Source organism: Homo sapiens, chromosome 8 (assembly GCF_000001405.40).
Source record: "Homo sapiens chromosome 8, GRCh38.p14 Primary Assembly".
In the NCBI taxonomy this organism is placed as follows: Eukaryota; Metazoa; Chordata; class Mammalia; order Primates; family Hominidae; genus Homo; species Homo sapiens.
In genome coordinates, this window is record NC_000008.11 from 55,840,853 (window position 1) to 55,864,789 (window position 23,937).

General features: G+C 45.5%; 7 annotated features.

Moving 5' to 3' along the window:
• Positions 1,578–1,872: a silencer, noted in NCBI's record as "tiled region #11739; HepG2 Repressive DNase matched - State 23:Low". NCBI's record gives its function as "represses a minimal TATA promoter and a strong SV40 promoter by Sharpr-MPRA in HepG2 cells {active_cell/tissue: HepG2}" and the evidence as "EXISTENCE:reporter gene assay evidence [ECO:0000049][PMID:27701403]".
• Positions 2,538–2,832: a silencer, noted in NCBI's record as "tiled region #4705; HepG2 Repressive non-DNase unmatched - State 3:PromF". NCBI's record gives its function as "represses a minimal TATA promoter and a strong SV40 promoter by Sharpr-MPRA in HepG2 cells {active_cell/tissue: HepG2}" and the evidence as "EXISTENCE:reporter gene assay evidence [ECO:0000049][PMID:27701403]".
• Positions 3,637–3,696: an enhancer, noted in NCBI's record as "active region_27378". NCBI's record gives its function as "activates an Ori minimal core promoter by ATAC-STARR-seq in GM12878 lymphoblastoid cells {active_cell/tissue: GM12878}" and the evidence as "EXISTENCE:reporter gene assay evidence [ECO:0000049][PMID:35858748]".
• Positions 4,037–4,116: an enhancer, noted in NCBI's record as "active region_27379". NCBI's record gives its function as "activates an Ori minimal core promoter by ATAC-STARR-seq in GM12878 lymphoblastoid cells {active_cell/tissue: GM12878}" and the evidence as "EXISTENCE:reporter gene assay evidence [ECO:0000049][PMID:35858748]".
• Positions 6,494–7,325: an enhancer, noted in NCBI's record as "NANOG-H3K27ac-H3K4me1 hESC enhancer chr8:56759905-56760736 (GRCh37/hg19 assembly coordinates)". NCBI's record gives its function as "activates a minimal SCP1, AML or CMV promoter by ChIP-STARR-seq in primed H9 embryonic stem cells {active_cell/tissue: H9 hESC(primed)}" and the evidence as "EXISTENCE:reporter gene assay evidence [ECO:0000049][PMID:30033119]".
• Positions 6,494–7,546: a biological region, named in NCBI's record as "CRISPRi-validated cis-regulatory element chr8.1663". NCBI's record gives its function as "regulatory_interactions: LYN".
• Positions 6,987–7,546: a transcriptional cis regulatory region, noted in NCBI's record as "candidate enhancer chr8.1663 targeted for multiplex CRISPR interference". NCBI's record gives its function as "positively regulates LYN gene expression with high confidence in K562 cells {active_cell/tissue: K562}" and the evidence as "EXISTENCE:mutant phenotype evidence [ECO:0000015][PMID:30612741]".

The window sequence follows — 23,937 nt, forward strand, 5'->3', positions numbered from 1 at the left end:
AAATACTTACAACAAGAAGCTTCACCCTGTGGCTGGCATGCCATATCTTATATACCTTGCACCAAGCAACCGTCCTTCCATTTCTTGTAACTAAGCAGAGCATAGCAGTAAATTTTTCAAATTTCTCATTTCTAAGTCAGGGATTAGCCAACTATGGCCCACAGTCTGAGTCATTGCCCAACAGTTTTTTTAGATGGCCAGCAAGTTAAGAATGGTTTTCACATTTATAAAAGATTGAGGCCGGGCGTGGTGGCTCACACCTGTAATCCCAGCATTTTGGGAGGCCAAGGCAGGTGGATCACCTGAAGTCAGGAGTTCGAGACCAGCCTGGCCAACGTGGCGAAACCCTGTCTCTACTAAAAATACAAAAATTAGTCGGATGTGGTGGCACATGCCTGTAATCTCAGCTACTTGGGAAGCTGAGGCAGGAGAATTGCTTGAACCCAGGAGGCGGAGGTTGCAGTGAGCCATGATTGCTCCATTGCACTCTAGCCTGGGCAAAAAGAGCAAAACTTCATCGCAAAAAATAAAAATTAAAAAAATAAAATAAAAAGACCGAGTCCAGGTGTGGTGGCTCACGCATGTAATCCCAGCACTTTGGGAGGCCAAGGGAGGGGAGGGGGTGGATCACGAGATCAGGAGTTCGAGACCAGCCTGACCAACATGATGAAACCCCGTCTCTACTAAAACTACAAAGATTAGGCGGGCATGGTGGTGCATGCCTGTAATCCCAGCTACTCGGAAGGCTAAGGCAGGAGAATCGCTTGAACCCAGGAGGCAGAGGTTGCAGTGAGCCAAGATCATGCCACTGCACTTCAGCCTGGGACAGAACAAGACTCTGTCTCAAAATAAATAAATAAATAAAAGTAAAATAAAATAAATAAATGTCCACTGAGCACTCTTTTGAGTCAAGAGTTGAAAATGGCCTAGATACCCCAAAGCCATGATTTTTTTTTTTTTTTTTAATAATCTTACCCATTCAGGCCAGGCGTGGTGGCTCATGCCTATAATCCCAGCACTTTGGGAAGCTGAGACAGGCAGATGGATCACTTGAGGCCAGGAGTTCGAGACCAGCCTGGCCAACATGGTGAAACCCTGTTTCTTCTAAAAATACAAAAATTAGCTGGGTCTGGTGGTGGGTGCCTGTAGTCCCAGCTACCTGGGAGGCTGAGGCAGAAGAATCGCTTGAACCCAGGAGGTGGAGGTTGCAGGGAGCCAAGATCGCGTCATTGCACTCTAGTCTGGGCAATAGAGCCAGACTCCATCTCAAAAACAAAAACAAGGGCCAGGTGCGGTGGCTCATGCCTGTAATCCCAGCACTTTGGGAGGCCGAGGCGGGCGGATCACGAGGTCAGGAGATCAAGACCATCCTGGCTAACACGGTGAAACCCCGTCTCTACTAAAAAATACAAATAATTAGCTGGGCATGGTGGCGGGCGCCTGTAGTCCCAGCTACTCAGGAGGCTGAGGCAGGAGAATGGTGTGAACCCGGGAGGCGGAGCTTGCAGTGAGCCGAGATGGCGCCACTGCACTCCAGTCTGGGCGACAGAGCAAGACTTGGTCTCAAAAAATAAATAAATAAATAAATAAATAAATAAAATAAAAATAACAACAATAATAATCTTACCCATTTAAAGTTTGAGAATAGGTTGAGATCATTTTGGCCCCAGGACCTCTAATATTAACTTTACTGGATAAAACTGTGTGGGTTGGGTTTTGGGAGAGCACCAACTATCCTAAGGGAAACTTCTGAGGGAACCAGCTAGTAGATGGCTCAATTAGTCTTTCACCCCTATACCCAGGTCGGACGATGGATTTGCACGACAGCACTGCAACGGACCTCCACCAGAGTGTCCTCTGGCTTCGCCCTCCTCAGGCACAGTTCACCATCTTTGGGGTCCTAACACGTGCACCTGTGCTTCACTCCCCCATACCAATTTCCCAACAAAACCATGGATTTTTAAATAGACTGTGGTTCATCCACGTGGAGCAATACTATGTAGAAGTACTGTAGAGATGCTATGTAAAACTCAGTGGAGAACTTCTGTGCAGTCATAACAACAATCTGGCAGAAATGAATTTCTGAATATATCAATCTATTGGTCCCCAGTTTAAGGGCCACCTCCTCTATTAAGAGGTTCCACGCCTCTCCTACCCCTCGGTTCAGCATTTGTAGTCTGTGGCTGTAGTTACCACAGCCCATTCGTGGGCAAAAATCTCCACAGCCCACGGGGCCTCCTCATTCCAAAGGAATAAGGGAGGGAGAGAGGGAAAAGATAAAAATAATTAAGTTGCAATAAATGTATTGTTTTTCACAAGAGAAGTAGTTTATTCAAATGATGATTTAAATATTTTTATTCAATTTGAATATTTAATACAATATCCTGTAGACGTAAAAATAAACCAGGATTTATTGAATTTATTTAACTAGAAGATAGCCAAATTTGTAGCACTAGTACAAATAGCTCTAACTTATAGTCAGCCTGTCATCAAAAGCACCCAAGAAGGATTGCATGTTTGGCTCTTTCTGTAAGAAAACTCCCCTGACAGCATCTAAACCTCTGGTTTGGTAACGATTATGCGCTGAATTCTGTCTCCCCAAACATTCATATGTTGAAATCCTGACCCTCAGGACCTCAGAATGTGACTGTATTTGGAGATAGGGTCTTTAGAGAGGTAATTAAGTTAAAATGGGGTAATGAGGTGAGCACTAATCCCATATAAGTGATGTCCTTATAAGGAGAGGAAATTTGGATACAGGGGGAGCTACTGGGGCACACAGAGGAAAGACCCTGTGAAGACAGAGAAAAGATGGCCGTCTACAAGCCAAGGACGGAAGTGTCAGGAGAAACCAATCCTGCTAACACGTTCAGCTGAGACTTCTGGCCTCCAGAACTGTGAGAAAATTAATATCTGATGTTTAAACCACCCCGTCTGTGCTACTTTATTACGGCACTCCTAGCAGACTAACGCAGTAATTAATCATTTGCTAAGGAGAGACCTCTTCCATTCTTCTTTCATAATTTGACATGAGTGCCATTAAAAACTTCGAATGTGTTTTGTGTGGTTTTTCCCAACTAGATGGTAAGGTTCTTGACGGTGCTGAACATAAACCAATTAGCTCAGTGTCTTGAGTAGAACTCACTAGATGTTTATTGATTAAATTTAATGACAAGATGTGTAGCCTGGTTCTGTGAAAAAGAAGAAGTGAGAAAAGAGGGGAAAGTTAGTTGGGGGTAGACACTGACATTTCTATGTGAGTGCTCCTTTCAGTTAATATTTAATGAAAGATTGAAATGGTGCTTTAAGGGTTTACAAAGTGACGTTCATAGACCTGATCTCATTCACGCTTCACAACGCCGTCATTGGCTACATTTTGCTGAGGAGGAAACTGAGCTCAGAGCTGTTGCCTCCCGGGCGCGGTCACACAGGACCAGAGGCGCCTTAGAACTAGGGCATAGGCTGGCTCCTCTGTGGGATTCAAATGCTCTCCTGCTAAACCGCATTCACTGAGCTCACCCCCGCTCTCCTTAAACACCAAGTTGAAGAGGACTCACAAATCGTGCACTCTCAACTAAGCCCTTTGTAAGACTCCGGACCTCGGGCTAGCACAGGAGAGAGGTCGCTGCAATTAAAATACAAAGTATGTGCATGTTTTTAAGTTCAGGTAAAGAAATTAAGCTCTGGTACGGATATTGTGCACTTACTGCAAGTTCTCAGAGTTTCTCGGGGCAGTTTTTCTTTTTCCATTCGCGGTTTTCCGGCCACGGTCAGGGTGGCTGTGCACTTAGTTACTTGGCTGAAACGTTCTCACTTCTCTCTTCCCCGGGCTTCCTCCTGAGTGACCAGCTGGCTAACAGCTGGCCCGTTCTCAGTAGACCTGCTAAGGCGCTCTTTATGCGAAGGCCAGGGGGCGGGCAGCCCCCAGCTCTACTGGGTCCCTCCCGCCTTTCTTTGGGGCTGCAAGCCCTCTTTTCTCTCATCACAAACTCAGTAAACAAATGAGAGTAGCTGCTAAACACTTGAAGTCAGAAAGGATTTATATGCCAATAAAGGGATTTTTTTTCTCCAATAGTTAAGTGTTTGGGAAAATAAAATTAGATCTCAGCCTCCGTGGAAGCCCCCACACCCACCCGAGACACTGAGAAGACCTAGCACCACTTCCCTCCCCACTCAGGGTTGGGTGATGCAAACTAAAAACAATGCTGAAGACAGAGAACACTCTAAATATAACTGCCCAAGGGGTTCACGTTGCCCGCTGCCTAGACAGAGCCGATTCATCAAGATAGGGGAATTGCAATAGAGAAAGAGTAATTCACGCAGAGCTGGCTGTGCGGGAGATCGGAGTTTTATTATTACTCAAATCAGTCTCCCTGAGCATTCAGCGACCAGAATTTTTAAGGATAACTTGGTAGGTGGAGGGAAGCCAGTGAGCCAGGAGTGCTGATTGGTCAGGGATGAAATCACAGGGAGACGAATCTGTGTTCCTGCACTGAGTCAGTTCCTGCGTAGGGGCCACAAGATCAGAGGAGCCAGTTTATCAGTCTGGGTGGTGCCAGCTGATCCATCAAGTGCAGGGTCTGCAAAATATCTCAAGCACTGATCTCAGGAGCAGTTTAGGGAGGGTCAGAATCTTGTAGCCTCCAGCTGCAAGACTCCTAAACCATAATTTCTAATCCTGTGACTAATGTTAGTCTTGCAAAGGCAATCTAGTCCCCAGGCAAGAAGGAGGTCTGCTTTGGGAAAGGGCTGTTGCCGTCTTTGTTTAAACTATAGATCACAGTCAGGAGTTCCAGAACAGCCTGGCCAACATGGTGAAACCCCCTCTCTACTAAAAATACAAAAAAATAGCCGGGCGTGGTGATGTGCGCCTGTAATCCCAGCTACTCAGGAGGCTGAGGCAGAATTGCCTGAACCCAGGAGGTGGAGGTTGCAGTGAACCGAGATTGTGCCACTGCACTCCAGCCTGGGCGACACAGCAAGACTCTTCAAAAAAAGAACAAAAACAAACAAAAAAAAACCGCCGGGCCCAGTGGCTCATGCCTGTAATCCTAGCACTTTGGCAGGCAGAGGCGGGTGGATTTCCTGAGCTCAGGAGTTTGAGTCCAGCCTAGGCAACATGGCAAAACCCTGTCTCTACTAAAAATTAAAAAAAAGTTGCCGGGTGTGGTGGTGCATGCTTGTACTCCTAGCTATTCGGGAGGCTGATTCAGGATAATGGCTTGAACCTGGGAGGTGGAGGGCGCAGTGAGCTGAGATCATGCCACTGCACTCCAGCCTGGACGACAGAGTGAGACTCTGTCTCCAAATAAATAAATAAACAAACTATAAACTACAAACTAAGTTTCTCCCAAAGTTGGTTCAGCCAATGCCCAGGAATGAACAAAGACAGCTTGGAGGTTAGAAGCAAGATGGAGTCGGTTAAGTTAGATCTCTTTCATTGTCTCAGTTATAATTTTGCAAAGGCGGTTTCATAACCTTCAGGAAGATAGCTGATGCTTTTAAAGAACTTTCAAATTCGTTGCCCCCCACCCCTCATTGCATTGTTTTGTCTTGTTTCTAATTTGGATGACCTTGTGGTTATTATTAAATTACCTTTTGGCTGGGCGCAGTGCCTCATGCTTGTAATCCCAGCACTTTGGGAGGCTAAAGCTGGAAGATTGCTTGATCTCAGGAGTTCAAGACTAGCCTGGTCAACATGGCGAAATCCTGTCTCTACAAAAAATACAAAAACTAGCCAGGCATTGTCCCAGCTATTCAGGAGGCTAAGGTGGGAGGATCCCCTGAGCCCGGGAGGTTGGGGCTGCAGTGAGCTATGACTGCACCACTGCACTCCAGCCTGGGTGACAGTGAGAGACCCTGTCTCAAAAAAAAAATAAATAAAAATAAAAAATAAATTACCTTTTAGATGTCCAGCTTCAGTCACTAGCACCTGATCTTAAGTACCTTGCATCTTAAAACAAAAATCCAAAACTGCTCCTCAACTTCTAGCTTAGAAGTTTCTACTATATTCTGTAATTACCCTACCTTTATCTTTCCAACCTCACCAAAAATATGTTATGTACCTCTCTAGGTATATCTGCAATGCAACAGCACACCTACCTTATTTTTACTTTATCTAAGGTGCATTTTTTTTTTTTTTTTTGAGACAGAGCCTTTCTCTGTCGCCCAGGCTAGCGTGCAGTGGTGTGATCCCGGCTCACTGCAACCTCTGCCTCCCAGGTTCAAGCAATTCTCCTGCCTTAGCCTCCTGAGTAGCTGGGATTACAGGTGTAAGCCACCATGCCCGGCTAACTTTTTTTATATGTTTAGTAGAGTCACGGTTTCACCATGCTGGCCAAGCTGGTCTCAAACTTCTGATCTAAAGTGATCCAGCTGCCTCAGCCTCTCAAAGTGCTGGGATTACAGGTGTGAGCCACCACACCCGGCCCTAACGTGCACATTTAACCCTAAAACTCTCCGGGCCCTTCTGTTGGTGGATGAAGTGCTGTCGTCCACCCAGATAGAGCGAGAGTCATCTTTGTGTCCCCAACGCCTAGCAAGGTATCTAGAACAAAGTTGACCTCATGAAAGGCACTGAGTGAATGAAGTCCTCTGAGCAAGAAATCAAAGTGTCTGTGGGCTGTAAAAAATGATCCCATATCCCTTTCCATTAAGCATCTGTCTCCATGTGCAGATGTAGAATATTTTACCGATAAGAAGTGGACGCTTTTTTGCATAATTAAAGTAAAACCTATATACATCTACACATATACGTGAAATGTGTAGCAATATGTTTTAACAAAGGGGTAATTACACAGTCTGAATTCTTTTTTTTTTTTTTTTTTTTTTTTTTTTGAGACGGAGTCTGGTTCTGTCCCTCTGTCCAGGCTGGAGTGCAGTGACGCAATCTCTGCTCACTGCAGCCTCCGCCTTCCGGGTTCACTCCATTCTCCTGCCTCAGCCTCCCGAGTAGCTGGGACTACAGGCGCCCGCCACCACGCCCGGCTAATATTTTTGTATTTTTAGTAGAGACGGGGTTTCACCATGTTAGCCAGCGTGGTCTCGATCTCCTGACCTCGTGATCCGCCCACCTCGGCCTTCCAAAGTGCTGGGATTACAGGCGTGAGCCACCGCGCCCGGCCCACAGTCTGAATTCTTAATCTCCCCGCCTCAGGCTGAGTCATGAGGAATCGGGGCAGGGTTGGAGAGATAGTGAGGAGGAAGATAGTGGCTCCAACTGCCATACACTCTCCAGAGAACCCTGTGATGGCTTCAAGGGACAGGGTGGGGGCCCCAGGAGATAAGTGTAGGTTTCTGAATGCCTTTCATGCAGCTTCTCTTCCTTCCAGTCATCTCATTGATTGCTGTTTTTGGTCTCAGACCATAGGAAGATTTCAAAGGGAAACCCCAGTGGGATATCACGGTATCCCGGCCATCCCTGCCAGCTTCCCATTGTAACTCGCTTAACGAGGCTCTGTTGTTCCCCGTGAATGTGAACTCAGGGGAGTTCTGCGGAACGAACAGAGGAGAAAAACTCCACAAACCAAGGGAAGCTTCTCCTGGGGAGAAGGGCAGGGCATTGTCGGAACCTGAGCTCTTCTCTGAGGTTTGCAGGAAAGCTCACTGACAGACCTGCATGCAAGTCCCGGTGCTGAAGTCAAAAGGGCAGGAGGTCTCCATTTGCTCTGCTAGCGACTGGGGGCTTTTCGCTGGATTGGAACTTCTGAGCAAGCTGCCTCAGTTCTAAATTGCTGTTTTCCAAAAAAGTGCTCTCATCCCAAGGCCTGCTCCCCAGAAGCACTTTAAATGGCTGTTTACAGTTTATGACGTTTTCAAATGCCTGGTCTGCAATGAAGTTTGGACAAAAGGATTTTCTTTCTAGGATTATATTTTTTGTTTGTTTTGTTTTTATACACTAAATTACCTGTGAGCCTATTTTTGATTACCGGGGGAGGTGTCAAAAGCTTTGCTCAAACAATTGATTAGTATAATTATTTCCTTTATTGTTGGTGACAATAATCCTAGGTGTTTTGCAATTGCCAGGTCACCCTGTGTTCATTCACACTGAATGGTCCAGAAAAGCCCAGGGGGCTGCTCTGCCCTTCAAGAGGGTTTCTTTTATTGTAATTATTATTATTATTGTGGTTTTTTTTGTTTTTTTTTGAGACAGAGTCTCACTCTGTCACCCAGGCTGGAGTGCAGTGGCACAATCTCAGCTCACTGCAACCTCTGCCGCCCGGGTTCAAGTGATTCTCCTGCCTCAGCCTCCCCAGTAGCTGGGATTACAGGGGTCCACCACCACGCCTGGCTAATTTTTGTATTTTTAGTAAAGACGGGGTTTCACCATATTGGCCAGGCTGGTCTCGAACTCCTGACCTTGTGATCCACCTGCCTCGGCCTCGCAAAATGCTGAGATTACAGGTGTCAGCCACCGCACTTATTATAATTATTGATCTTATTATGTATTATTATATATATTATTGATCTACCTTTGATGATTATAATTATTGATCTACCTTTCTCTTTTCTTTCCAGTGGTTTGTAGCATACTCTGAATTATTTGTGCCACATTGAGCAGCAGTCCCGGCATGTGGCTTCTATTGGCTTTGTGTTACTATTAAGCTTGCTGTTTCTGGGTCTTTATCTTCCATCAATTACCATTTATTTTATTCCCCTTTCCCTCCATGTTCCTCTATTTCCATGTCCCACTTATCTGATCTCCTGGAAGGGCATTGATTTGGCTGCTCTCCTGGGCTTCCACTGAAAATGCTGGAAGAGCCCCAAGTAGGCAGGGGCCAGGAAACCTCCAATGAGGCTCAGAATCCAGTGTGTCTCTCTGGGATTCCCTCCTCATCCACCCAGCATGTCTGCAGCCCGAGGCTGCTTCTCTCTACATTATTTGAAGTATTCCCATGAAAAGTTCATACAATGAACTCCCAAGATTTACTCAGCACAACACAGCAGCCTGGCATTTATAAAACAAAAAGGAGGGCAACCAAAGGAGGAACTACTTAAAGAGTAATTACAGGCCAGGACGCAGAGGTCATGCCTTTAATTCCAGAGTTTTGGGACGCTGTGGTGCGTGGATCACTTGAACCCAGGAGTTGGAGGCCGCAGTGAGCTATGATCATGCCACTGCACTCCAGCCTTGAGCAAGACCTCGTCAAAAATAAAACGTAACTACAGTCCAAAGAACCAGGTTTCTGATAGTACTAATGACATAGTCTCTGCTTTCTGCTTCCAGAAGAGGAGCTGGAAGCTCAGGGTTACAAGGGTGGTCACCTCTGCCCCTGGAATAGCCTGCCTGTAAGGACAGCTAAAGCCACATGCAGCTAAGGGCAACATGTGGCCAGTCCAAGACAAAAACACACACTCAGGGCCGGGCACTGTGGCTCATGCCTGTAATCCCAGCACTTTGGGAGGCCAAGGCGGGCAGATCACCTGAGGTCGGGAGTTTGAGACCAGCCTGACCAACATGGAGAAACCCCGTTTCTACTAAAAATACCAAAAAAATTAGCCGGGTGTGGTGGTGCATGCCTGTAATCCCAGCTACTTGGGAGGCTAAGGCAGGAGAATTGCTTGAACCCAGGAGGCAGAGTTGCAGTGAGCCAAGATCACACCATTGCACTCCAGCCTGGGCAACAAGATTGAAACTCCATCTCAAAAAAGAAAAAAAAAAAGAAAGCACACACTCGATTTGAAGTAATGGTACAAAAAATGAGTGTAAAATATATGAATATTAATAATTCCTAGCCAGGCATGGTAGCTCATGCTTGTAATCCCAATACTTTGAGAGGCTGAGGCAGGAGGATCGCTTGAGCCCAGGAGTTCGAGATTAGCCTGGGCAACATAGTGGGACTCCATCTCTACCAAAAAAAAATTATTATTATATTAATAACACATTTCATAATAATATTTTAGGTGTTTGGGGGTAAATATATGGTACAATGAAAGTAGCTTCTTTTCCTTTTTTTTTTTTTTTTTTTTTTGAGATGGAGTCTCTCCGTGTTGCCCAGGCTGGAGTGCAATGGCACAACCTGGGCTCACTGCAACCTCAGCCTGCCGGGTTCAAGCAATTCTCCTGCCTCAGCCTCCCAAGGAGCTGGGACTACACGTGCATGCCACCATGCCCGGCTAGTTTTTTGTATTTTTTAGTAGAGACGGGGTTTCACCATGCTGGCCAGGCTGGTCTCGAACTCCTGACCTTGTGATCCGCTCACCTCAGCCTCCCAAAGTGCTGGGATTACAGGCCTGAGCCACCGTGCCCGGCCCGCGCTTCTTTTCCGTTTTTTTTTTTTTTTTTTTGGAGATGGAGTTTCACTCTTGTTCCCCAGACTGGAATACAATGGTGTGATCTCAGCTCATCACAACCTCTGCCTCTCAGGTTCAAGCAATTCTCCTGCCTCAGCCTCCCTAGTAGCTGGGGTTACAGATATGCATCACCACGCCCAGCTAATTTTTTTTTTTTTTTGTATTTTTAGTAGAGATGGGGTTTCTCCATGTTAGTCAGGCTGGTCTCAAACTCTCGATCTTAGATGATCCGCCCGCCTCAGCCTCCCAAAGTGCTGGGATTACAGGCATGAGCCACCGCTCCCGGCCACTTCTTTTCCTTTTTTAACATGGCTATTAGAACATGAAAAATGAACCAGCCTAGGCAACATACTGAGACCCTGTATCTACAAAAAATTAAAAATTTGCCAGGCGAGGTGGCACATGCCTGTATTCCCAGCTACTTTGGAGGCTGAGGTGGGAGAATCACTTGAGCCCAGGAGTTCAAGGCTGCAGTGAGCTATGATTACACTACTGTACTCCAGCCTGGCAGCCAGGGTGACAGAGCAAGACCCTGTCTCAAAAAAATAAAAGAAAAGAACATGAAAAATGGCATGTGTGGCTGGTGATATATTTCTGTTGGATGTTGCTGCTCAAACAATGGCCTTATCTCCTGCCTGGCCTTCTTCAGCAATGTGCCTACTTCCTGGAACCACAGGGACAAAAATCCTCTGATTGCGCCCCCCACCTCCCGATCTGTTCTACTCTTCATTTGGAGGCAGTCACCTCATTCACAGCCAATCAGATAGACGGCAGTGATCAGCTACAATCTACAAGGGAGGAATGGTCTGCCCCTTACAGGCCGGCTTCACTGTTCCATAATCTCCAAAGCCCTACCATGAGGATTGTAACATCTCCTTCCCCCACTCAAACTCCATATCCCTTTCAGGTCTTTTCTGAGGAAAATGCAACATCCAGGATGATTGTTTATTGCTGGATAGTTAAGGACCCCATTCTACCTACATAGCCTGTGCGTGTCTACGTAGAAGAGCCACAGGGCCTCGGAACATCCTTCGGCACAGAGCTTAGGAGAGCAATGGCGACCTCAAGGAGCAGGCATCTCGGCTCTAGCCTTGTCTGGATTTCTGTCTAAGTTGTACTGTTTTCATTTTTCAAAGTATTTTTAGAGACAGGGTCTCACTCTCTCGCCCAGGCTGGAGTGCAGTGGCTGGATCATAGCTCACTGCAGCCTCAAACTCCCAGGCTTAAGCAATCCTCCCACCTCAGTCTCCCAAAGAGCTGAGATTACAGGCACAAGCCTCCACATCTGGGCTATCTAATTCATATTTTTTTGGTGCATATAAAGGAGGAAAATTAACTTCATATTCTTTTGGTGCCCATAAAGTGTAATCTTTTTACTATGACTTGCCCATGGGATAAGATTTTCTCTACCTTTTAGGGGGTTAGAATGCCTGATGATAAGAGACAGAGAGATAACTGACATGCTGTTAGGACAACAAGCTCCTCTTAGGATGCATCTACATGATGCTGAATAGCTGGGCGTCTGGGAACATCTGAATGGTCCATTATGTCTACCAAAAAATCTGATTAAATATTTCCTTGCCGGGTGTAGTGGCTCATGCCTATAATTCCAGCACTTTGGGAGGCCAAGGCGGGTAGGTCACCTGAGGTCAGGAGTTTGAGACCAGCCTGGCCAACATGGTGAAACCCTGTCTCTACTAAAAAAAACAAAAATTAGCCAGGCATGGTGGTGGGTGCCTGTAATCCCAGCTACTTGGGAAGCTAAGGCAGGAGAATTGCTCAAACCTGGGAGGCAGAGGGTGCAGTGAGCCAAGATCATGCCATTGCACTCCAGCCTGGGCAACAAGAGCGAAACTCCATCTCCAAAAAAAAGCTTTCTTTTTAAAATTATTTATTTATTTATTATTCTTTTCTAGAGAGGAGATCTCCCTATGTTACCCAGGCTGGTCTCGAACTCCTGGGCTCAAGTGATCCACCCGCCTTGACCTCCCAAAATGCTGGGATTATAAGCGTGAGCCACCACATCTGGCCTGATTAAATGTTTTAACTTTTCATTTACCTATTTGGACCTGGTATAAAGACAGCTGTAGATTTATTAAAGCAGTATAGTCTGAAAAGACTGTAGGAAACTAGATTTATACCGACCACAGACAGCGCAGCACAGGCCGAGGCAGTTCCTGGTCATAGAAGCGTGAGGAAACAGACAGCAACACCCAAATACAGATGGCTCCTGATAATTGACCGGCTCCTTTCCAAGTGGCCAAAAGTTATTTCCGGAATGGAGCACAAAGCAAACCATCTGCTAAGGTTTTGGGAGAGGCTGCAGTTGGTCATACATGGAGAAGAACACAGCATCCAATCCAGAGCCCTCTCCCCGCCACCTCCTTTATTAAAGGGCTCTCACACTTGGGGCCATTATGTACCTGTTCTAATCACCCAGGGCCAGGGACCAAACAACTATGGAACAGCCCATATTCCCCAGGCCCCTGAAATCATCCAAGCCAGCCAATCCTAAGCCTGCTTACCCTGCAGGGCCCTTCCATGGAGAGCGCAGTAAAGTGGATTAGGCCCAGCTCAAGTTCAGCCACAGGACCTACCAGAAGTCTCCCAACCCCCAGGCTGACAGCAGGGTGGGGGTGGGGTAGGGGTGGGGTAGGGGTGGGGTGGGGATGTGGAATCTCCAGGAAAATGTGGAAGTCTCTTGGAGGAACTGGTTCCTCAATGGGGAGCCTGCAGGATGGCTGCAGTGACAGAGGGAGGTCTGCCAGCCAGCCCTCTCTTGCCCTGTGTGTCTTCAGGACATGCTACCTTGCTGTCTGTTTTCAGTCACCACAGGGCTGTAGCTTTTCCCCAAAAATTGTTTCAAGGAATAGTGTCTCACATTCCTAGTTATATAATCACACACATCCTGCAACAGTTAGACAAGGCAAATTAGACAAAGATCATAACACCTCTCAAGTAGCTGTTTAATTTTGCAAAGTCTTGAAGACAGTGAAGCTTTTCCAATATTTTTTAAAACCTGTATCCCAGGTGTAAAGTTCTATTTTGAAATGATTGAAAGGCCAAACTGAAATTTATTTTTTGTAGAGACAAGATCTCACTATGTTGCCTTGCCCAGGCTGGTCTCAAACTTCTGGGCTCAAGTGATCCTCCTGCCTCAGCCTCCCAAAGCACTAGGATTACAAGCGTGAGCCACCGTGCCCAGCCTGAACTGACCTTTGTAAACATAAACCATGCCTTGCCAGGTCAGACAGGTGGACATCTCCCTCACTGACAGGGTCTGTCCCTGGTGGCTGCATTCCCTTCTCCTTTGGTCTGCCCCTCAGCACACTTCACATGTGGGGCAAAACCCAAGGGATAGAAGAATAAGCCATAAAATACAAAAATATATGTATGCTGAAACAACATACCTTCATTCTAGATATTCTTTTTTTTTTTAAGTAGAGACAGGGTCTTGGTATGTTGTCCAGGCTGGTCTTGAACTCCTGGGCTCAAGAGATCCTCCTGCCTCAGCATACCAAAGTGCTAGGATTACAGGCGTGAGCCCGCTTGCCTGGCCTAGATTTTCTGATTGTTAAATTCGAGGTAATGCTTTCCCTCTCTTGCTTCCCACCTTCTATTTCCCTTCTTTCTGCCCCTCCCTACTTTGCTCATGGCCCGTGCACCTGCACAGGCTGCCTGGTGAGTAACCCAGCTTTGGCCTCACCTTCAAATATTCTTGCATCTCCGCACTCTTTAACTTCCTACATAGTTCATTATGGTTCTACCTTCCATGAATGCCTCTAAAGTGACAAAATCATCTATCCACACCCCGCCCCTCATACAACATTCCATTCATCAGTTTCTGTCATTCTTGGTATCTCTGAGGGTGGCACAAGGGCCCCTGATTAGCTGTCTTCCGTGTCCCAACCTATGGTCATCTTTGAACAGTAACCGACCAGGGAGCAGGGTCCCAGCCAGATGGCTTTCTGACCCCAGGGCTTCCTTTTCTTTCCCATTCAGCTTGGGGGTGTCCTTCCTTCTTCTCCCCCTTCTCCCTCAGTCCACAACCATCCTCAAGACCCATAGAGGATTGGTCACTGGGAACGGAACATGATGTCCCTCCCTGGGCACACCTTCCCTTCCTCCTTCTGTCAGCCTCAAAGCTGGTCTCATGGCAGCCCTCCCTGCTCCACGGAGATTCTGTTCCATAGCATATGCAAGAGACGCCACTGCAGCTCCTGTGATACGATGACCAGATGTGACAGAAAGTCCCAATTAAAATGTTTCTTTTAAAATTTTATTTATGGGCAGGTGTGGTGGCTCACACCTGTAATCCCAGAATTTTGGGAGGCCAAGGCAGGCAGATCATCTTAGTTCAGAGGTTCGAGACCAGCCTGGCCAACATGGAGAAACTCCGTCTCTACCAAAAATATAAAAATTAGCTGAGTGTGGTGGCACATGCCTGTAGTCCCAGCTAGTGGGAGGCTGAGGCAGGAGAATCACTTGAACCTGGGAGGCAGAGGTTGCAGTGATCCGAGATTGTGACACTGCACTCCAGCCTAGGCGACAGTGAAACTCCATCTCCAAAAGAAAATCATAACAATAATAAAATAAAATTTTTATTTATTTATCTATTTATTTGTTGAGACAGGGTTTTACTCTATTGCCCAGGTTAGCATGATCATAGCTCAATGCAGCCTCAAACTCCTAGGCTCACTAATGTAAAATTTTCTGTTTGCCAAATGCTAACTCTCATTTGAGAAATTATGGCCACTTGTCCAGTACAGAACAGAATGAAAGGCTGCTATTAACACCCATAAGATTAAATCTGATTTTGTACTTTTTAGGGTCTAAGTAAATGTCCAGTGGCAAAAGAAGAAAGAGGGAGAATCAGAGTTACGACAGTTTTACAATTTGACCTCTTGTACTTGCTAGAGACTTTGTTTTTTTTTTGTTTTTTGTTTTTTTTTTTTTTTTGGAGACGGAGTTCTGCTCTTGTTGCCCAGGCTGGAGTGCAATGGCACAATCTCGGCTCACTGCAACCTCTGCCTCCCGGGTTCAAGTCATTCTCCTGCCTCAGCCTCCTGAGTAACTGGGACTACAGGCATGCTCCACCACACCCGGCTAATTTTGTATTTTTAGTAGAGACGGGGTGTCTCCATGTTGGTCAGGCTGGTCTCGAACTCCCAACCTTAGATGATCTGCCCACCTCGGCCTCCCAAAGTGCTGGGATTACAGGCGTGAGCCACCTCGCCCAGCCTAGAGAATCTTGAAAAACTAAGTAGACTGTGATTTAGGAGAAAACCCCAAGCTGTGACACCAAACTGTCCACCACATGAACAGAGAGAACAGAAACTGGTCAGGAGCTAACCACACAGAGTGAACAGCAAGACCTTTTTTTTTTTTTTTTTTTTTAGACAGAGGCTTGCTCTGTTGCCCAGGCTAAAGTGCAGAGGCGCAATCTCGGCTCAGTGCAACCTCCGTCTCCTGGGTTCAGGCGATTCTCCTGCCTCAGCTTCCCGAGTAACTGAGACTGCAGGAGCATGCCACCATGCTAGGCGAATTTTTTTTTTGAGACGGAGTCTCGCTCTTTCGCCCAGGCTGGAGTGCAGTGGTGCGATCTCCGCTCACTGCAAGCTCCGCCTCCCGGGTTCACGCCATTCTCCTGCCTCAGCCTCCCAAGTAGCTGGGAGCATAGGAGCCCGCCATCACGCCCGGCTAATTTTTTTTTTTTTTGTATTTTTAGTAGAGACGGGGTTTCACCATGTTAGCCAGGATGGTCTCGATCTCCTGACCTCGTGATCCACCCGCCTCGGCCTCCCAAAGTGATGGGATTACAGGCATGAGCCATCGTGCCCGGCCTCGGCTAATTTTTATATTTTTCAGTAGAGACGAAGCTTCACCGTGTTAGCCGGGATGGTCTCAATCTCCTGACCTCATGATGTGCCCACCTCGGCCTCCCAAAGTGCTGAGATTACAGGTGTGAGCCACTGCCCCTGGCCTGACCTTTTCGTTTTCTCACTGATGCATTCACTCTTTTGTTCAACCCTTATTGAGTTCACGCTATGTGTTTGAAAGTTCTGAGCCCTTGGGGAATGCAGAGTGAACAAGACATTCTCCTTGCCCTCCAGAAGTTAAATATAGCAGAGAAAGTGGGTACAGTCGGAAATTATTCTCTCTCTTGTTTCTTTTCTTTTTTTCTTTTCTTTTTTTTTTTGAGATGGAGTCTTACTCTGTTGCCCGGTTAATTTTCGTATTTTTAGTAGAGATGGGGTTTTGCCATGTTGGCAAGGCTGGTCTCGAACTCCTGACCTCAGGTGATCCGCCCGCCTTGGCCTCCCAAAGTGCTGGGATTACAGGCATGAGTGATCATGCCTGGCAGTTGGCTAATTTTTCTTTTTTGGCGCAATCTCAGCTCATTGCAACCTCTTCCTCCCGGTTTCAAGCGATTCTCTTGCCTCAGCCTCCTGAGTAGCTGGGATTACAGGCAAGCCCCACCACACCCAGCTAATTTTTGTATTTTTAGTAGAGACATGGCTTCACCATGTTGGTCAGGCTGGTCTCGAACTCCTGGCCTTGTGATCTGCCCGCCTCGGCCTCCCAAAGTGCTAGGATTACAGGCTTGAGCTACCACGCCTGCCCTAATTTAAAAAATTTTTTTGCAGAGCTGGGGTCTCGCTATGTTGACCAAGGTGGTCTCAAACTCCTGGACTCAAGTGGTTCTCCCACCTTGGCCTCCCAGAACACATTACAAGCATAAGCCACTGCACCTAGCCAAAAAACTCTTTGTCTCCTGATCTGTTGCCCTCATTATACCTAAATAAAAATGAAACCTGGCCAGGTGCAGTTGATCACAACTATAATCCCAGCACTTTAGGAGGCTGAGGTGAGAGGATTGCTTGAGTCCAGGAGTTGGAGACCAGCCTGGGCAACATGGCAAAACCCCATCTCTACAAAAAACACAAAAATTAGCCAGGCATGGTGGAGTATGCCTTGGAGTCCCAGCTACTCAGGAGGCTGAGGCTAGAAGATCACTTGAGCCTGGGAGGCAGAGGCTGCAGTGAGCCATGATTGTGCTACTGCACTCCAGCCTAGGTGACAGACGGAGACTCTGTCTCTAAATAAATAAATAAATAAATCCTATTTTAAAACGCTATCACCCTTTAATACTTTCTACACAATTCCTACAAAACCACAGAACAAGGATAAAAATTGGGTAATTAACACTGATGTATTACTTCCATCTAATCTTCAGATACCCTTTAGGTTTTGCCAGTTGTCCCAACCATGTCCTTTAGAGCAAGACTTCCAGATCAGAGTCAGGCATTGCATTGAGCGAAGATCTCTTCAGTATCATTTAGACTAGGACAGTTCCTGGGACCTTTGGAAGATTACAGGTCAGTTATTTCGAAGAAAGTCCCTCACTCAGGCCTGTCTGATGCTTCTTCTTATGATTGACTCAGGCTCTGCTTCCTTGGTGATGCCATGTCTTTCTGTGTGTCCTAGAAGATGGTAGCAATACCAGTTTGTCTGATGATTATTTTGACCCCTTGAAATTGATGTCGGCCAGGTTTTTCCACTGAATGGTTAACTCTTTTCCCCTTTATAACTAAGTATTTTCTGAAGAGAAGCTTTGAAAGTAGGTAAGTATTCTGTTCCTCATCAAGCTTCCCATTTAAATGTCAGCACAGGCCAGGCGCGGTGGCTCATGCATGTAATCCCAGCACTTTGGGAGGCCAAGACAGGCAGATCATTGGAGACCAGGAGTTGGAGACCAGCCTGGGCAACATAGCGAGACCCCTGTCTCTACTGAAAATAAAAAAAAATTAGCCAGGCATGGTGCTGCGTGCCTGCAATCCCATCTACTCCAGAGACTGAGGCATGAGAATCTCTTGAACCTGGGAGGTGGAGGTTGCAGTGAGCCAAGATCACGCCACTGTACTCCAGCCTGGGCGACAGAGCAAAACTCTGTCTCTAAATAAATAAATAAATAGAAGTAAATGTCAGCATAGACTTATGATTTGTATTTTCTTCTACAGGTTACACTCCATTATAATTTGCTACTTACATTATTTTATAATTTAACCAAAGCTGGTTAAATTGACCCAGCTTTGGCAAGTGGGAGCTTTTTTAGGGTAGCCCTGGTATGCTTTTGGGACTGTTCCCATCATGTTTTGAGTCCTCACTTTCAGCCTCAACTGGGTGTTCCAAGCTCATCTTGTACCTTCCTGGCCCCAGCCCTAGCATTGGCCTCTTCCCCAGGGAGTCCTGTATCTTCTTAGAAGTCAAGACCTGGGCACTGGGTGTTCATTTTGATTGAGGTGCAACATCTCCTAGGGCCTCCTTGTGAGCAGAGGGAGGGTGTGTCTGTACATGCACTACATTTACAGTTGTGTCTCCATCTGTGTATTTTTATCCTGGAAGAAGGACATGATAGGGGAGATGCTGCCACTGGATTTGGAATCCTGTGCATTTAGTTCTTTCCTGGTTTTTTGTCTGTTTATGGGTTGGTTGGCATATTGGTTTCTAGGGCTGCCACAGCAAAGTATCGCAGACTGGGCCATTTCTCCAAATACGGTCACATTCCAAGGTACCGGGGGTTAGACTTCAACATAGGAATTTTAGTCAGACATTACTCAGCTTATAACATTTGGTTTACCAGAAAAATCAGCACGCAATTTGGCAAAAGTCTGTGTGTTCTAAATCCAGAGGATCTAGGCTTAAAAGAAGCAAACAATAACAAAAATTAAGAAACAAACAAGATTATGATTCCCACCCACCCCGATGAGTGGGGAGCCCAGTCTAAACTGTGCAGTGGGTCGAGCTCACCCTCAATTCATGACCTCTTTCCCTTCCAGGACATCCTCAGGCCAGCGGCAGCTTTATTTACCATGGTATGTATAATGTGCTTATAGTCAACTTATAATTTAAAATTTTACTTTTAGCCAGGCACGGTAGCTCACACCTATAATCCCAGAACGTTGGGAGGCTGAGGCAGGCAGATGGCTTGAGCTCAGGAGTTTGAGACCAGCCTGGGCAACTGAAAATAAAAAAATTAATTGGGCATGGTGGTGCACACCTGTAGTCCTGGCTACCTGGGGGGCTGAGGTGGGATGATTGCTTGAGCCCAGGAGGTAGATGTTGCAGTGAGCCATGATCACACCACTGCACTTCAGCCTGGGCAAAAGAGTGAAACCCTGTCTCAAAAAATATAAATAAATAAATAAATAAATTTAATATCCTGAAAAGTGTCCTCTTATAATTTGTTAATTTATTAAAAATTTATTACTTTGACCCTCAAGCTAAGCAGATACAGTACTGAGAGAGTTCAAGTTCTCAAAAATTGTCTTCTTTGTTTCACAGTATTGCCAGTTCTACATTTAATCCAAAGTTTCACTTTTAAAAAAAACATTTAAACCAGATCAGAAACAAAATTTCTTCTTCATTTATTTTCATCTGACTTTTTTTAGAAACTAGTATTCATTAGACTGAAACTTGTCAGCAACCTCAAAGTCAACCAGAAAGTTATTTTTAGAAAAAAAATTATCTTCTAATGAATTTATAGCTTGATTTGATGGTTAACCAGATACTTTGTTTCTTTTCTTTCCTAGTCTCTCTTTTCTCCTTGTGTCACGGTGTTTGAAAAAGACCAAAGAGTATTCCCTCCCGCTTGGGTTTCTGTATCCTAAGGAGGCAGTATGTAGTGTAGAGACTGTTACCCTATAACATTATATTATATAATGTTATAAAGGCAGCTGCAGAGGTGTCTTGTTTGGGGATGTCACCACATTCATTTGCATTTCACACTGGATAACACAAGTGTGCAAGTGTGTTATTTGATCTTCTGGCCAAAGCTAATTTTTGTTTGTCAGGACAGATTTTTCACAAAGTTTCTGTGCATCAGGTCAGCTGACCAAGCTGGGGGTGGGGTGGGATGGGGGAGTGCTCAGTCGATGAGCTGGGCTGTGAGCTGGGCTGTGAGCTGCACTCTCACCTGCCAGCTGTGTTGTTAGCGGCAAGTTGCTCAATCTCACCGACATTCCATTTCCTCTGCTACAAAACGGGGATCATTTCTACCTGTCAGAGCACTTGGCACACAGCAAACACTTAACAATAACTTCACGTTGAATAAATATGGGAATGAAAAAGAGATAATGTATGCAAATACTTGGGCACCTTGCCTCTAGGATGCACCAGGTCTTCTTGCTGTGTCCTCACTTGGCAGAAAGAGGGAGGGACAGAGCTCTGAGGTCTCTTTCTTTTCTTTTCTTTCTTCCTTTTTTTTTTTCTGAAGCAAGGTCTTGTTCTGTCACCCAGGTAGGAGAGCAGTGGCATAATCACAGCTCACTGCAGCCTCGACCTCCTGGGCTCAAGCAATCCTCCTGCCTCATTTTATGATTTTGCTAAAGAGACAAGGTCTCATTATGTTGCCCAGGCTGGGCTTGAACTCCTGGGATCAAGTAATCCTTCCGCCTCGGCCTCCCAAAGTACTGGGATTACAGGAGTGAGCCACTGCACCTAGTGAGGTCTCTTTCATCAGGGCACAAATCCCATTGATGAGGGCTCCACCCTCATTACCTAATTACCTTCCCAGACCCCACCTCCTAATACCATTACACTGGGATTAGGATTTCAATATATGAGCTTTGAGACAACACAAACATTCAGTCCATAACAATAGATAAAAGATAAAGTAACTGCTATAAGAGCATAAGGTAGAAATTGGAGGAACTACAGTCCATTTCCTGTGGACAAACACTCCCCTATCCTTATCCTGATATGATAAGTCACACAGCTGTCATTCTTTCTTTTTATTTCATTTTGCACATAGGGCTGATGTGGAGTTGTGGAGCCGGACTCTTTGTCCTGCAGTTGTATTTGCATTTCCTCCCCCCATCAGTGAGCTGCCCCTCACCTGCCATGGCTGGAAGACAAAGTCTGAGTGGACAACACTCCACCCAAGATGGGCAGCGAGTGCCATCCCACGTGAATAGAAGGGCATTTCCTTCCCTTCTGGAGTTCCTTGAGTATGAGTTATATTGAGTATTATTCCACGCAGACTGGAGGCATTCAGACTCTGAGGCTGAATTAGACACAGTAGGAATGGTTTGAAAGGTTGAAAACAGAATGCAAAGTTCTTTTCTCTACCCAAGTGAACCATTCCTTGCAAGTCCCTGTATTTTCTCCTCTTCCCTTCTACCTCCTCTCCTTCTCCTTGGAGAAGTTCCCATGAGCCAAGCTACGTTAAGTCCTTTATGTGTAGTATCTAATTTAATCCTCAGGCCAGTCTTATGAACCCCAACCCCATGAAATCCAAACCCTCAATGCCCAGGAATAGTGCAACCCTAGTGATGCCCCACGATGATTCTGATAATCAGTCCCCTCCCTGCCCCTGCCAGCCACCAGCAGTGACTCTCCACTGCTCATTAAATGGCATGTCAACTCCTTGCCTCCATATCGAAGATTCTGCACAATCTGGCCTCCCACCTGTCACCTTTATTTTCTAATTTCACCTCAATCCTTTCCCATGGCTGGCCCACTTTTCAAAACTTCTTTCCCAGACATTACACTCCACACACACACACACACACACACACACACACATCCTTACACACATACACTGGTATCTGCATGCACTCAAACCTACATATACTCATATAACACCTCCCACATACATCCTTGCATGCCAACACTCCTGCATGCACACATACAAACACCCTTACACACAACACAGCCCTGCACACACACACTCTTACCCACACAGGTATTCTACATACACCTGTGTGTGTATATATATATCCCTGTATGCACACTCCATACACACAGCTCTGCACACGTACCTGTATTTGCACACAAAATACCATATACCTACACACATACAAATACCATCCCTACACCCCTAAACACACACTCTACATACACACACATACCTGTACAGATACACACAAACACACACACACAAATATGCCAATATTTGTTTGCGTAAGGATGAAAAATGGAAGAAACTAGGGCCAAATATTATCATTTAACAATCCCAGTGACTAAGGGAAATCTTTCTTTGTTAAATTGTTTGTTTCTTTTTCTTTTTTAAAGAGTTGTTTGGCAATAAATGTACACTGAAAGGAAAAAGATTGTTTGAGCTAAGGTAATTGGGAAGCATTTATGCAGAGGAGACATTTTAGGCTCCCTAAATAAGATGGTGTAAACCGATATTAAAAAAACAAAAAAGAGGCTGGGCACAGTGGCTCACATCTGTAATCCCAGCACTTTGGGAGGCCAAGGTGGGCAGATCACTTGAGGTCAGTAGTTTGAGACCAGCCTGGCGAAACCTTGTCTGTACTAAAAAAAAAATTAGCCAGGTGTGGTGGCGTGTGCCTGTAATCCCAGCTACTTGGGAGGCTGAGGCAGGAAAATCACTTGAACCTGGGAGGTGGAGGTTGCAGTGAGCCAAGATCTCAACACAGCGCTTCAGCCTGGGCAACAGAATGAGATTCCCTTTCAAAAAAAAAAAAAAAAGAAAGAGAAGAGGGAAGGGGAGGGGAGAGGGAGGGGAGGGAAGAGGAGGGGAGGGGAGGGGAGGGAAGAAAGCAGCCCAGCACAATGGCTCACACCTGTAATCCCAGCATTTCACAGGAGGATCACTTGAAGCCAGGAGTTTGAGACCAGTCTGGGCAACATAGGGAGACACTGTCTCTACAAAAAAACAAAACAGCAGCAAATTAAATTAAATTAAATTAAATTAAAAGTAAACAAAAACAGCTGGGTGTGGTAGTGCACACCTGTAGTCCCAGCTACTCAGGAGGCTAAGCCAGACGATCGCTTGAGCCCAGGAGTTGGAGGCTGCAGTGAGCTATGATTGCACCACTGCACTTCAGTCTGGGCAACAGAGCAAAGTCCTGTCTCTGAAAAAAAAGAAAAAAAAAAAAAGAGGAAGATAACAGATGTATGTGTTCTTCATTTTATTTTATTTTTTTTAAAGGATTCAGAAAACTGAATGCATGGAATTTGTTTTGCTTTATCACAATGTGAAAGTGTTGCCATTCCTTTTCATGTGAAGCTGCTCTTATTATTATTATTAGATTACTGATGAGTTTTTGCAATGTATCACTTTTGTATGGCTCAAGGCTAAAGAGGTTTTTCAATAGAGCGAGTGCTACCCCGACTTTGCCAAACAATGGTAAAATATATCAATTTAATCAAGAGACATCTTCCTCATATCATTTATTATCATCTACTTAAGAAGGGGTAATTACGAGAGTTTCTGAGAGTTCTGAGATAAGGCTTGACTGGATGCTGTGTATACTTTCTGAGTTATCATTGCATAGAATTAACTTCTCACTTCAAAAAGAATTATAGCAGACACCTTTATATTTGGACAAATATAACTTGTTATCCTCAAATCTATGTGTTTAATATTTGTGAAGAGAAAAGTACCATGCACAATAAAACCATTTCCGACGTGTCAAGTTTTATAGTGAGTCACGGGTCTGTCTACTCAGATAAATGCAACAGGACATCCTGTAGTCACTGTGCAGTTTTTCCAATGCTTCTAATTTTTTCTTTTGGCCCTGTATGAGATGCAAAGGCAACCACATTTTAGCCAAAGACTAAAACGTTATAATTATAGTTGCAATTTTGCACAAAAAGAAAGAATTTTAAACG